Source organism: Homo sapiens, chromosome 4 (genome assembly GCF_000001405.40).
Source record: "Homo sapiens chromosome 4, GRCh38.p14 Primary Assembly".
Taxonomy (NCBI): Eukaryota; Metazoa; Chordata; class Mammalia; order Primates; family Hominidae; genus Homo; species Homo sapiens.
In genome coordinates this window covers 37650847-37665562 of record NC_000004.12, presented here as the reverse complement: position 1 = coordinate 37665562, position 14716 = coordinate 37650847, and the positions used below count along the sequence as shown (strand labels likewise).

The following is a 14716-nucleotide window of genomic DNA, read 5'->3' as shown; positions in this document are numbered from 1 at the left end:
CGCAGCCACGTGGAAATTGGGCAGTAGCCTTTGGTGAGGTTGTGTAAGCTCGGATTTAGCGTCCCCTTATGGATCTGGCAGTTGGGGATGAATTGGAGTCCTGTGAAAATCCAGTTGAGAGCTAGTTCCCCAAGCTGGGTTTAGGAATGTGCTGCTATTTATAGCCTTTCTTTTGGATCTTTGCAAACTGGAAACTTCTGTTGATTTCGATGAACCCAGGAGCATGCTGGTATATTTACATCCTTCAGAAAGGACTTACCCAACAAGGGGGTGAAGCAGTGGGGTGTATCAGTTGTCCAGCTCTGAAAAGAATCTACTTATTTATGTTTGTAAAAACTGTTGGCATTTGGCAAATGGGGTGTAAGTACACTGGATATTCTGTTCTACCAAATAGGATCTTAACAAAACTGCTTATAAAGTTACTGTGAACTTGGGGACTTGATTGATTACCCAGGAGCCCTTCTGCAATGAGAGAATTTGCTTTCACATATAACATTGCTGCAGCAGATGTTTCAGGCACTCCTACTGTGTTGCAGGAACTGTGTTAGGGATTAGAGGTACAAACCTTCACTTCCCCACCTCCACTTAGGGAAAGAGGTGTTTGACTTCAGTCAGGGTTTTCCGGCGAGTTCTGTGTCCTGCTGGGATTCCTGCCTTTGACCGTGGTATGTCTGAGTGGTGCGCTGTTGTAGTGAGGTGGGTGGGGAAAATGTCCTCCTAAGCTTTGGTTCTTCTGCTTGGCTCATTTCTCTGCCTCGACCCAGTGATATCATGTAGGCCACTGATTTATTTACAGAATGATGATATTACCTAACTTCTTGGGATTAGGGATTTCAAATAAAAGAATGAATGTGAAAGTGCATTGAAAAGTGTGTTATTTGGGTGGGAACTTTTATATCTTGTACTGTGTGTCCCTATCTCATGTGTATGATTGAAAATTTTCTTTATTCCTCTCCTTTCTTTTTAAATATTTTTTCTGAAAGATTTTTAGATGCCATGTAATTAACATTGCTAGTACAAATTATGTTTGTGGCAACCACTGAATAACAGTTTTTGAGCAATAATGTGAACACATGCATCTGTGAATAAGGTGCTTTTCAATAGCTAGAGAAAGGTCTTTTACTTTTACCTTTATGATAGTTATAGAGGGAGATGAAGTAGTTATACATGAGTGATTTTTTTTTTTTTTTGAGATGGAGTCTCACTCTGTCACAGTGATGGGATCTCAGCTCACTGCAAGCCCTGCCTCCCAGGTTCAACCCGGGTTCAAGCAATTCTCCTGCCCCAGCCTCCCAAGCAGCTGGGACTACAGGCACGTGCCACCATGCCCAGCTAATTTTTGTATTTTTAGTAGAGACGGGGTTTCACCATGTTGGCCAGGATGGTCTTGATCTCTTGACCTTGTGATCCACCTGCCTCGGCCTCCCAAAGTGCTGGGATTACAGGCATGAGCCACTGCGCCCGGTCGATCTTTTGTTTTTTGCAGTTAAAATTAATATTGGGAAATTTTGTGCTATGAAGGTTTTTAAAAAATGAAGCCACTACAAATTTCATTCACCTACAGCTGACTTCAGTCTTTTTTTTATGAAGATGATTTTTACACCAGAAGAAGATATGTGCAAGTTCCAGTGTTAATCGTATATCATAGGGTCATTGGAGAGAGGCAGCTTCTTAGTGTTTAAGGGCCTTGGGTGGGTGAATGTTGACCTGTATGCAGCCCAGCTGTGTGGTTCATTGGTGACAGTTTAACAAAGCCACCTAAATGCATGTGTCACTAGATAAAACCCAAGGCCACCGCCACTTACAGACACTGTTAAGCAACATGGCTAAGAGTGTGGGCCCCGGGATTCCATTGTCTGGGTTGGATCCTGTCCTCCTACACACCGAGGCTTGTTATTGAACCCGTGTGCCTCATTTTCCTCATCTGCGAATGGGGGTAATGAGAGATGCTTCCTTACAGATGCTGCGAGGGAAGAATGAGATTGCCCAGGAAGCATCCAGAACACTGCCTGACACCACTAACACCCCGTGTGAATGCTGCGATTGACAATTAAAGTAGCAACTCATTCTTTATGACGTACCACCTTTCAGAAATAATCTGAAGCAAATATTAGATTTCTGAAGCCCTGTTGCTTTAAGGTCACTTCAAACAAATGACTTCTTCAGAATTCCATTTCTTTCTTGAGTGGACATAATGTGTAATTTTAAAGGTTCGCAAGAGCCATTAGTCAGAGGCTCTCTCCATTCCTGTTGTGCAGCCACCCAGCCCCTTCCCAGGAGACAGACGGTGCTATCAGTAAATAAAGACTTTGGAAAAGTCCCCAAATGGACAGCACCAAAAATAGCAAAAGGAGGAGGGGCAGCGAAAGAGGGAGGGAGGGGCTGGAGAACAGGAAAAGAAGATGGGGAGAGAGTCAGCAGGGAGCCCTCCCAGTCCTTGAGCCCCACGGGTATTGCTTTTCCTCACGCCCCTCTCTGAGGACCCCACTGATGTGTGCAGCCATCAGTGAGGGTCTGTGGGAATCTCCTCAGTCTTCTGTCTTAGAGGCACAGTTGGTGGCTTCCTGGCCTGTATCCCAAAGCAAATAACTGGCAAGCTGACCTTGCTCCAGTCTGGGGTGAGGCCAGGTCAGATGAGCCTTCTGTTGTATCCTGAATGCAAACCATTGTTTGAGATACTCTGGAAGAGTCCAGAAGTTGAGGTCCTTGGCCTCTCAAGACACCGGGATCCTAGAGTTAATTTCCTCCCAAGACGGAGCTTTGGGCGAGGTGGGAGGTGGGGGAAGATGGGGGGATGGGGGTGGCTGTAGCTGTCATCTGTGTTGGAGTTCTGTGGCTTTAAGAAATAACTTCAAATGGTAAACCCGAGACAGTGTGGAGTAGGCTAGGGACTTTATCTGACTCTGCAAAGTTATTTTTCTCTCTTCAGTTCAAATTGAAGCCAGGGATGGTAATATTTAGATTTCATCTTTTTTTTTTTTTTTAAGATGTTTCTTTATATTGACATCACTCAAGTTTCAGTCCTTTGTTCTGGTAGCAACCCGGGGTTCAGGAATGCTCTGAGTGCCCCAGCCTCCTGCCTGTCAAGAGTGTCCTGTTCCCTTTTTGTCCAGCCAAATTCAGTTATTCTGTTGAGGCTCAGCATAAAGTCCTTTTTCTTTCTGGATCATCTTTGTTACTTCCCTTCTCAATCTATGTGGTATTTAAGAAGAAAGCCCCAGCTTAAGGATAGGTTATGCCCCAAATACTACTTTTGAGTAAGTAGATTGTAAGTTGAAATGCATTTTCCCATTAAAAATGATAATTATCATTAGTAATGATAATTTTTCAAGGCATCCATTAGCCAAATGCATCTGAAAATAAGGATTTATAGCTAGGCTTTGCTGACTTCTGCACGTTTTATTGGGGAAGTTGTCTGAGCTTCCATCTGTTCCCAGAGTGGTCTTTGCAACCCAGAATCAGACTCCAGGGCTCATGACTCATGGTAGCATTTCAGGAATTTTAACAAAATAAAAGTAATTGAGGGACTGTATGCAGCTGGCGTTGGGTGGGGTTTTGTTTCATGGGTGGGTGGACTTTGGCAGGTGGGTGCCATCTGGGTGTCCCCTCCCTGCCCAGTCATAGCTGCCTTTTCGGGGAAAGGTGGGGTTGTAGCAGCTGTTTGTCTAGGAATTGTCTGGAAGCTGGTAGCTGCCTCAAGTTTCACTACAGAGTTCAGCACTTATTTATATACTGACTTACAGTGTTCTCCAATTCTGTTTAAGCCCATTTGTTCTCTCTACAACATATTCTTGAGCTTGGGCAAATGCTGTGTCTTTATGATTGCCACTGTGGGTAGATGGTCTTAGAGACTGTGACTTTAGTTATCTCTGTAACCAAATAGGAATAATTTGGGGATGATTTTATTTTGTAGAATTTGCTTTGGTTTCTCTTCTTTTATTATTGTGGGCAATTGATTTAAACTGTATTTAAAGAATTAACTTGGCTAGGTGCGGTGGCTCACGCCTGTAATCCTAGCACTTTGAAAGGCCAAGGTGGGTGGATTGCCTGAGCTCAGGAATTTGAGACCAGCCTGGGCAACATGGTGAAACTCCGTCTCTACTAAAATACAAAAAATTAGCCAGGTGTGGCAGCGTGCGCCTGTAATCCCAGATACTCTGGAGGCTGAGGCAGGAGAATTGCTTCAACCTGGGAGGCAGAGGTTGCAGTGAGCTGAGATTGTGCTACTGCACTCTGGCGTAGGTGACAGAGTGACTCTGTCTCAAAAAACAAACAAACAAACAAACAAACAAACAGAATTAACTTAAAACAGGTTGTTTTGCACTAGTAGTAAGCTGTTAGCTACTGACTAGATAATAGGTCCTAGCTCTACCAAAGTAGGACTGAGAGGCTACTAGGTGGACTAGTACACCTAGTAGGTATAACTAGGTGGACTAGTTACAGATTCTGTCCTGAAACAAGATTTTTGTCCCAGGTTCTTACCAGTTTTTGTTTGTTTGTTTGTGGTTTTTTGTTTTTTGTTTTTTTTTTTTGAGACAGAGTCTCACTCTGTCACCCAGGCTGGAGTGCAGTGGCACAGTCTCGGCTCACTGCAAGCTCCGCCTCCCGGGTTCACGCTGTTCTCCTGCCTCAGCCTCCCGAGTAGCTGGGACAACAGGCGCCCGCCACCATGCCTGGCTAATCTGTTATATTTTTAGTAGAGACGGGGTTTCACCGTGTTAGCCAGGATGGTCTTGATCTCCTGACCTTGTGATCTGCCCGCCTTGGCCTCCCAAAGTGCTGGGATTACAGGCGTGAGCCACCGCGCCCGGCCTCTTAACAGTTTTTAACCATGTGACCTTGAGCAAGTGCAGTACCCTGACCAATCTCCTTACTCTTAGAGTTGTGACAGTCGGAAACCCTTGGGACTGGTAGTCTAAACTCTAAATGATGTGACTTCCCCCGAGCTTTGTGCTGACCAAAATCAAGATTAAGAATGGCTCTGATAGCAATTCTTCCTCTCCTTACTAGGAGAGTGTGTGTAAATAGCCACACATCAGGTCAGTGCAGGGTTTGCTACCAGATGAATTTGTCAGATTTGATGTTGCTGTCAAAGGAGTTATGAAAAAATTGGATTTGAGAGCTGTTGGGATTTGGCCTTGTGGACATGGAAGATGGGCTTGTGTCTTCATCTCCAGCAGTGTCAGCCCAGAGTGAATTGTGGATGAGGCTGCAGAAGGTTGGGGAATAGTGGAATTTTGAGAATCATGAAGAACATCAGCTCCTGCTTGTAATTTTTTAGATGAGGAAACTGAGGCCCAGGGAGGTGAAGTGATTTGTTCAGTATCACACAGGTAGCTGGTGGAAATGGTGGATGAAGAAAAACCCCTTTAGAGAAATGAACATTTAGACATTTAGCCATCTTGGTAATCTAGACCAAAAAATAGACCCTTCTCAGATACTGTGATTTGAATGTTAGCTTAAAAATAAATAAATAAATAAATAAAAATGGGTGTGTGTGTGTGCTTAAAAACTATTTTCCAGCTAACCTTGATGTGGGTTATCCACTTATCAGCCAAGTTCCTTTCCCATCAAGAGTTTGTTGGTTCAGTTTGCCAGGAAACCCTAGCTTCTGAGAATGCGCACCCTTTCCTGGTAAGGAGAGGAAGAATTGCTATCAGAGCCATTCTTGATCTTGATCTTGGTCAGCACAAAGTGCTTGGGAGAGATTAGGACGGCTGCCTTGTCTGTAGTCTGTGGTTGGATTTGAGAGCTGTTTGGATTTGGCCTTGTGGACATGGAGGATGGGCTCGTGTCTTCATCTCCAGCAGTGTCAGCCCAGAGTGAATGAGGCTGCAGAAGGTTGGGGAATAGTGGAATTCTGAGAACCATGAAGGACATCAGCTCCTGCTTCTAATTTTTCAGATGAGGAAACTGAGGCCCAGGGAGGTGAAGTGACTTGTTCAGTATCACAGAGGTAGCTGGTGGCAAAGGTGGATGAAGAAAAACCCCTTTTGAGAAATGAACATTTAGACATTTAGCCATCTTGGTAATCTAGACCAAAAAATGTTAGCAACCCTCAAGCCATGCCCACTGGGTGTGAGAAATGCCATTTCCCCGCCATTCTGTCTCGGCTCCTCTGACCATTGGGGTCAGTTGGAAATACAAGTATTACTTGGAAACAAGCTAGAAAATTGCTTTTGACTTTTTAGGTTGACTTCCAGCCATGCTTCATGCCTCCTCCTCAGTTCCCTGCTGTCTTTGATCTTTTTCATCTCACGTTTTCTTTTGTAATCTCAGCAGGATCTTGGCAAAACACACATACCTAGTGGGTCCTCAGAATACAGCAAATTTACCAAAGCTTACTGGGCCCAGGAAAAACCCAAAGAATTTTGACAAACACTGGCCTTTGTGTTGGACATTTTTTATTTGTGGTGCTGTGGAAGAGAATCACACTTACCAGCTAGAGCCAAGCTCTGCCTATTTCAGTGGCTCTTGCTGTGTGCAAAAGACTCTCAAAATGAAGTGATGGGCTTGTTTTTGAAGAGCCAGCAAGGCTGTAGGGATCCCAGGTTATGACCTGCATAAGGCGAGCTGTGATTTGGGAGTTGGGAGGGAGATTGATTGGTGATAAGGGCAAATAGTAGAGTTTTTTGTTGTTTATCTGGTAAAACTGCTTTGGAGTCTGGTGGGAACATTTTCAAAACTTATCCTACTTCTTGCTGTGCTAATTGGAATCCATGGTTTTGAAGTCTGTGGAGGCTTTATTCTAAACCAAGTTGTGAAATAGGAAAGAATAGGCCATCATTTAGCATTTTAACAGAAAAGTGGCTAAATGATGAAATATTGTTGAAAGAAAAATAATGAAAATGTACTTTAGGCATTGGTAGATGAACAGCACTCTCTTACAAGTCGTGTTTTACGTATGCAGACACTGAGAGTAACATAAAGTGTGTTTGAGCATGCAGGATCCACACTGCCTGGTTTGAATCCAGGCACTGCCACTTGGTAGCCACGTGACCTTGATGTTGGGAATATTGCCTGACCTTTCTATGCTTCTGTTTCCCCATCTGTAATGTGAGGATAACACTGGTAACCATTTTATAGGTTTACTGTGAAGATTCAATGCTTAGCTTAGTGTTGGCTCATACATGCTCCATAGTTGTGGTGGTGGCTGTTGTTAGTATTGATAGTGCTGTAATAAACTAGTGTGAATCAGATATCATCGATTCTGGAGCCATCTCACCCTAAACTGTTCTCTTTCGTACTCTAGCTCTGTCTGCTTTCCATTCTGATCCTGATTTGTTATTCTGCTTGGTTTCCAGCCTGCATGGCATGCCCTGAGTGGTCTCATACAGTTAGAGATTTGGGGTGCACATCTCAGCTGTGTCCTGAATGCCATTGTGCATTATTTTCACTGACACCTGCCTTCAGTCTCTCTGCTAAGCCTCCTGTCTGCTGAAGTCCCCTCTTCTGTCCTCACCCTCCTAGTTACCAACAGATGTCATTGCTTCCTCCCTGGCTGTTCCTTAGGCTGGCTTTGAACTCCTGGGCTCAAGTAATCCTCCTACCCAAGCTTCCCCAGTAGTTGGGACTGCAGGTACATTTTACACTGGTTTGCCATTGCTTTTTATGTTTAGTGTGTGTGTATATGTGTGTGTGTGACAGGGTCTCGCTGTGTCCCCCAGGCTGACCCACCCTCCCAGTAGAGTGGCACAATCATGGCCCACTGCAGCCTCCACCTCCTGGCCTCATTTGATCCTCCCATCTCAGCCACCCAAGTAGCTGGGACTACAGGTGTGCACAAGCACTCCTAGCTATCTTATTTTTTGGGGATTTTTTTGTAGAGATGAGGTTTCACAAAATGTGTAATCTCACCTTGCCCTCCCAAAATCTTGGGATTTCAGGTGTAAGCCACCACACCAGGCCTTGCTTTTTATGTTAAAAGGCAACAGAAGCACCTGTTCCCGCAACTTTCTTCCACCCACTATAAAGGAAGGCCTCAGGAAAAACTGTATCCTTTTCTATTCAGATATTTAACTCCCCTCCTTCATATGGAAGTCATCTCAAGGCCATTGCTTCATACTCCCGCTCTGTCTCTCCCTTTTGCTCCTTCCCTTCTACATATAAATACTTTGGTTTCATCCACTTAAAAAATAAACCCCAAACAAAAATTTCTTCCCTTCACCCTGAGGGTGAACTACCCTACCCTCCTTGCTTGCTCAGAAGGAGCTTCTGGAAGGAGCACAATGAGCTCAGTGTCTCTGTTCCTGAACCCAGGGAATCCAGCTTGCATCTTGCCGTCCATTTCATTGGAAAACTGCTCCAGCAAGGCCACCAAAGAGCTTCTGTGGATTGTTTTTCTTTCTATTTTATTTTTGCCTGTTTATTTCCTTTTTTATTTTACTTTATCTTTAGAATTTTTAAAGAATGTTTACTTCAGGAAACTACAGAGAAACAGGGAGCAAAATCCAAGAAGGGAAAGGTTAAAAAATCCCAAGCTGCTCCTAAATTAGAAACTGAAGGTTTCCCATGTGTTCTTAGGAATTTCTGTGTGGCCTGATTTATCTGAGTTCTTCTCAAGCCTCTTTCTAAAGATTTCTCTTGGGTTGTGTCTTCATTTGTTTTCTGTTGCTATAACAGAATACCTAAGACTGGGTAATTTATAAAGAATAGAGGTTTATTTTGCTCACAGTTCTGGAGGATGGGAAGTCCAAGATTGGATAGCCATATCTGGTAAGGGCCTCTTGCTGCTTCATGACATCAGTGACAAAATGGAAGAAATCACATGGTGAGAGAGGAAGCAAGAAAGTGCCGAGGAAGCTGAACTCGCTTTTATAACAATCCAAACTCCCAATAACTAACCCCCTCCCATGAGAACTAACTCACTTCTGTGAGAACAACGTTAACTCCTTTATGAGCGTGGAGTCCCCAAGACCCAAGCACTTCTTAAAGGTCCCACTACAGCTCAACACTGTTACATTGGGGACCAAATTTCAACGTGTGTTTTGGAGGGGACAGATCATATTCAAACTATAGCAGGTTGTTTGTTTCTTTCCTTCTCTCTGTTTTTAAAAATTATGGTAAAAACACTTAACATGAGGTCTACTCTCTGAACAAATTTTTAAGTGCACAATACAGTATTGTGAGATCTCTAGAACTTATTAATCTCGTGTAACTGAAAATTTATATTTTGTGCCTGTTGATCATCAACTATCCCTATTCCCCTGCCCTCCCAGCCCCTGGCAAACACCATTCTACTCTCTGGTTTCTATGAGTTTGACTATTTTAGATACCATATATAAACAGAATTGTATAGTATTTGTCCTTTGGTGTCTGGCTTATTTCATTTAGCCTAATGTCCTCAGGGTTTACCCATGTTGTCACATTTGGCAGGATTTTCTTCTTTATAAAGCTGAATAATATTCCATTTTCATATGCCACGATTTCTTTATCCCTTTGTCTATCGATGGGAATTTTGGTGGCTTCCACATCTTGGCTGTTGTAACTAATGCTGCAGACAACATGGGAGTGCAGGTATCTCCTCAAGATCCTGATTTCAATTCTTTTTTTGGATATGTACCCAGAAGTGGGATTTCTAGATCACATGGTAGTTCTATTTTTAACCTTTCGAGAAGGCTTAATACTATCCAGCATAGCAGCGGCACCATTTTGCAGTTCCTTCGTATTTTAGTTGTGCTCTCTTACAGCATCTGACCCAGCTGACCACTTACCTCTTCTGGAAACTCATTCCTTTCTGTCCTAGACTGGAGCTCTGGCTGTTCTTCCTCAGCTTCTGAGTGGAGCAGATCCAGTTGCTCAATGCCTATTTCCATCTGGATGTCACCTGCTTACCTCTATTTCTGCGTGTTCAAAACTGAACTGTGACATTGTCCTCAAGATGCCAAGTGAATTCGTTTGCTAGAGCTGCCTCACAAAGTACCACAGACAGGGTGGTTTCAGCAACAGAGAAGTCCAAGAGGAATGTGTCAGCAAAGTTTCCTCCTTCTGAGGGCTATGAGAGAATCTGTTTCATGCCTCTCTCCTGGGTTCTGGTGATTTGCTGGCAATCTTTGGTGTCCCTTAGCTTGTAGAAGAAGCATCATCCAGATCTCTGCCTTTTTCTTCACATTTCCCCTTTTCAGAAGGACACCAATCATATGGGACTGGGGTCCACCCTGATGACTTCATTTTAACTAGATGACCTATGTAAAGATCCTATCTCCAAATACATTCTGAGGTATTGGGGGTTAGGAGCTCAACATATAAATTTAGGAGGGGGTGACAAAATTCAAACCATAACACCAAGCAAACTTGCTTTTTATATATATATATATATATTTCCCATCACAATGAATGGGTCCAATGTCCACTATGTTGCTCAAGCAGAAACTTGGACGTCATTTTTATTACATCACTTGCCCTTACATTAATTTGGGTTCAAGAAGTCACAGAACCGGGAGGCAAAATTTTGAAATAGGAATCCTAGCATCCATCAGACCTCACAAAGGGGTTTGTGACTCTCAAATGACTAACAGCCTCTGCTCTACATACTTTTTAAAGTGTCTACCATCTTGGTACAAAAGTACCACATACTAATTTTAGAAAGTTATAGAAAAGTATAAAGATAAAATTAAATTTATTTCATTATTTTAGTACCGAGAATCACTTAGCATTTTGGTTTTGGCTTTATACCTTCATGCGTTTTTATTTTTTAAAAAAACTAGTTGGATCATATTGCATGTAAGGTTTTGAATCCAGCTTTTGAAATTCAATATTGGATCATAGTGTTTTCCTGTATCTTCACAAAAAATTTCATAGATCTTTAAATAGTGCATATTATTTCATCAAATGAAACCATGATTTAGATATGTTTTTACTATCTCATTGCAAATATGCAGGTGTTGCTATTTTTTGACTTTTATAAATAATGCAACAACCTTTGCTATTTGGACTAAGTAACTTGTTCGTGATTCAGACATGATTCAGCTAGGGGTGAAGGAGAAGAAGGGATACAGTGTTTCTCAGCAAATTATTAGTGTAAATTGAAGGAAAGCTAAACCTACTGAAGTTTATAAATGTTTTAGACATTATGTATGAACAGTTACTTTGTTATTTAAAAGCTATTTTTCATTGAATTGTTAAGGTAGATCACAATATATTCTCCACTCTGCATCTTTCTTGTTAGCTATTCTTTATAATGCACAACAGGGCTGTCCAAAAAAACTTTCTGGGATGGTGGAAATGTTCATTATCTGGGCCGTCCAGTATGGTAGCAGTTAGCCACACATGGCCACTGGGCACTTGAGATGTGGCTAATGCAACTGAGGAACTGAATTTTTAATTTTATTTAAATTCATTTGGCTTAAATTTGAATTTAAATAGCTACATGTGGCTAGTGGCTATCTTACTGAATAATGCAGGTCTTTTATGATTATGACTAAAATACAGTGCCCACCTTTTTGTAGACACTCTTCTGAATGCTTTACATATTAATATTGTTTAATCTTCACAGTGACACCATGCAGCAGGCTTCCAGTTACTATTGCTGTATGACAAATAACCCCAAAGCTTAGTGGGTGAAAACAACAATCATTTCTTTTGTTTAAGGATTTGTTATACAATTTGGGCAGGGTTCATCAGAGACAGCTCTGATGCCCCATGGAGCATCAGTTGGGACTATAGGATCTACTTTTATTATGGCTATTACTGGCTGATAAGTTGATGCCTGCTATTTTCTCTCCACAGGGAAGCTTAGGCTTCCTCACAGCATGGTGGCTGGGTTCCAAGAGCAAGTGCCCCAAGAAACAGGAAGTGGAAGTTGTCAGTTTCTTATTGCCTGAGGCTGGAAAGTGATAATGCATCATTCCCAACACATTCTGTGGGTCAGGGAGAGTAGAGTGTAAATGTAAGGGGACGAGATACAGACCTCACCTCTCAGTAGAAGCAGTATCAAATAATTTTGAAGCTGGAAACCAAAAAGTATCTGAGACGGGTCTCAGTCAATTTAGAAGTTTATTTTGCAAAGGTTAAGGACATGTCCAGAGAAAAGGATCTCAAATCCACAGGAACAATCTGTGGTTCATGCCATTTTCCTAAGAAGATTTTGAGGGTTTCAATACTCAATACTTGTATTGAGTATTCAATACTTGTATTGAATATTGAGGTTTCAATACTTGTATTGAATATTGAGGTTTCAATACTTGTATTGAATATTGAGGTTTCAATACTTGTATTGAGGTTTCAATACTTGTATTGAGGTTTCAATACAAGGGGAAAGAGGGAGCAGATGTTCACATTACTGAATCTACCTGTTGCAAGGGAAAAGGAGCGGGCAGGGTAATAGTCAATTATGTCAGTCAGTCAGCACTTTACCTAAGATAAGGTGAGCATGGAGTAGCTACCTGTGCAGATACTTCACCTTTTATCAGTAGCTATCTGCCTAAGAACAAAAGGAAACGCAATTTCTTGAATGACTCAGCTTTCAGTTTAATTTTTTCCTTTTGGCATAGTAAATTGGGGTCTGAGATTAGATTTTTATTTCCCAGGGCCATCTTGTAAAATTATCACAGATTAGTCACACTCATTTTGATCCTTTTAACAGAGAGGAAACAGAGTACAGAACAGTTAAAATTACTCGCCTAAGGTGACATGTCTAGTATGTGGCCAATAACATGTCTGTTATTTCTGCCAGGTCTGAGCTTTTAATCTGAGTGCTATATTGCCTCTCCCTGTAATTTATATGCTTCACTAATGTAGATTAATATCTTCAGTTTTTTCATGGCACGATAATTATGAAATTAAGTGAATGACACATGTTTGTAAGTCACAGAGCTCTGTAGATATTTAGTGTTTGTTAGGGGTTGCCACATGTCAAATTCACGATGAAGACACCTTCTCAATCACCTGATTCAGAGGGAGGTGTTTGACTCCAATTCTGAGCCCCTCTTTCATCCCTCTTTCCCATTGTCCCCCTAAAAAAGAATTTATTTTCACCCCCAGATTGAAACAGACAGTGATTCTGAGTAAAGCTCCTTGATCTCAGCATGCTGCCTACTTCACCTATTCTTGTTGCGTGGAATATGTGTTATATAAAGGAATTAATAAAGAAAACATTGTTTTAGGACCATAAAAGGGATTAAATAAATGTTTCTGGTTTTTCCTGAAAATAAGGCATGAGGTTAAACCCTAACTTAGACGGTATATTGCATATATTTAGGGATGTATTTATTATATTGATTCTTCAGGGAGAAATCAGAAAACACTGGCTATTTCAAATTCTGGAGGTTGTCTGATAAAGTAATGAATGCAACCTCTTACAAACCTAAGAAACCAATTATTTCCTTTCATGTTCAAAGACAATGGATATTTCCATGCGAAAGAGAGGTAGTCTTTGTTCTATGGCCTCTGGTTTGCAAATAAAGCTTCTGTTTGATATTGTTTGTTTGCTGCTGTGATGAACCGTGCTCATTTCATACCAGGCATATTGTCCCCATTATAATCATTATGATGCAGGAGTTTTCTTCTCGGTCACTTTGTAAACTGGGGACCTCCTGGCTGGCGACGCTCTGCCCCAGCCTCGACGCCCTGCTTGGCCACGCTGGCGTGCTTCAGCTCCCCTGTGGTATAGCTTGTACCCACTTTCAGCAGTTCCCAAGCTCTTGTAGCGCACCCAAGAAGAATGAGGATACACGACACACTGAAGGGTGAGGAGGGCGGAGAAGAATTTTATTGAGCTATGAAAATGGCTTTCAGCAGAGAGGCAATGTGGGGCTCGGGGGAATGGTTCTACTTGAAGTTCCTCCTGTGTGGCTGGGTCTGGGGCCTTTTATGGACTCAGAATGGGGAGTGAGTGCTGATTGGTTTGTGAGGAAAGCGCACCAAACAGGAAGACAAGTCCTCCATCTGGTCCGAGGATTTAACTTGTAGCTTGGCTTTCAAGCTTTAAAATTCTTCAGCATGGAGGTGGGGTTTCACCAGGGACCCAACCCTGTCTGCCTGGGCATTTGACTGCCTCCTGCCACTCTCAATTACAATACGGATTCTTTTCTCACCAAAATTCTCTTGAGAAAGCTTATATTTAAATGTCTCTAGCTTTCCAATTTCTGGGTTTCTTGAGCAGTGTGTGTGAACCTCCCTTGATGTAGAAAACCTCACTTTATCCTTTCAGAGTCAGGATATTCCAAATACTGAAGCTTTGTTTCAGTCAAACCCCACAGTTTTCTTTGGTCCTCATCTACCTGACTCCCCTCTTCATTTTGTATTTCTCTCCTCATTTTTCCATGGCATGGTGCTCTGCTGATTCTTTTGCTACACGGTATGTTCTTCCTGAACTCCTGGCCTCAAGTGATCCGCCTGCCTTGGCCTCCCAAAGTGTTGGGATTATAGGCATGTGCCACTGTGCCCAGCCTAAATATTAATAGTGGTAGCTAACACATTTATAGTGCTTACTGTGTGACAGGAACATATATAAGGCTAACTTTTTAATACTTTTTAATTTAATTTAATTTTTTTTTTTTTTTTTTTGAGACAGTCTTGCTCTGTCACCCAGGCTGAAGTGCAGTGGTGCACTTCTTGGCTCACTGCAACCTCTGCCTCGCAGGCTCAAGCAATCCTCTCACCTCTGCCTCTCCAGTAGCTGGCACCACAGTTGTGTACCACAATGCCCAGCTAATTTTTGTATTTTTAGTGGAGACGGGGTTTCACCATGTTGCCCAGGCTGGTCTTGAACTCCTGA

The 14716-nt window shown here is 42.2% G+C and overlaps 1 protein-coding gene across 8 annotated transcripts in view, besides 2 other annotated features; it reads left to right on the top strand.

Moving 5' to 3' along the window:
• Window positions 1-14716, top strand: part of RELL1 (RELT like 1) — a 100073-nt gene that overhangs the window by 20814 nt on the left and 64543 nt on the right. The gene's annotated exons all lie outside the window — the stretch shown is intronic.
• Window positions 1662-1956: a silencer, noted in NCBI's record as "tiled region #2227; K562 Repressive DNase unmatched - State 9:DNaseU". NCBI's record gives its function as "represses a minimal TATA promoter and a strong SV40 promoter by Sharpr-MPRA in K562 cells {active_cell/tissue: K562}" and the evidence as "EXISTENCE:reporter gene assay evidence [ECO:0000049][PMID:27701403]".
• Window positions 11347-12000: an enhancer, noted in NCBI's record as "OCT4-NANOG hESC enhancer chr4:37655185-37655838 (GRCh37/hg19 assembly coordinates)". NCBI's record gives its function as "activates a minimal SCP1, AML or CMV promoter by ChIP-STARR-seq in naive H9 embryonic stem cells {active_cell/tissue: H9 hESC(naive)}" and the evidence as "EXISTENCE:reporter gene assay evidence [ECO:0000049][PMID:30033119]".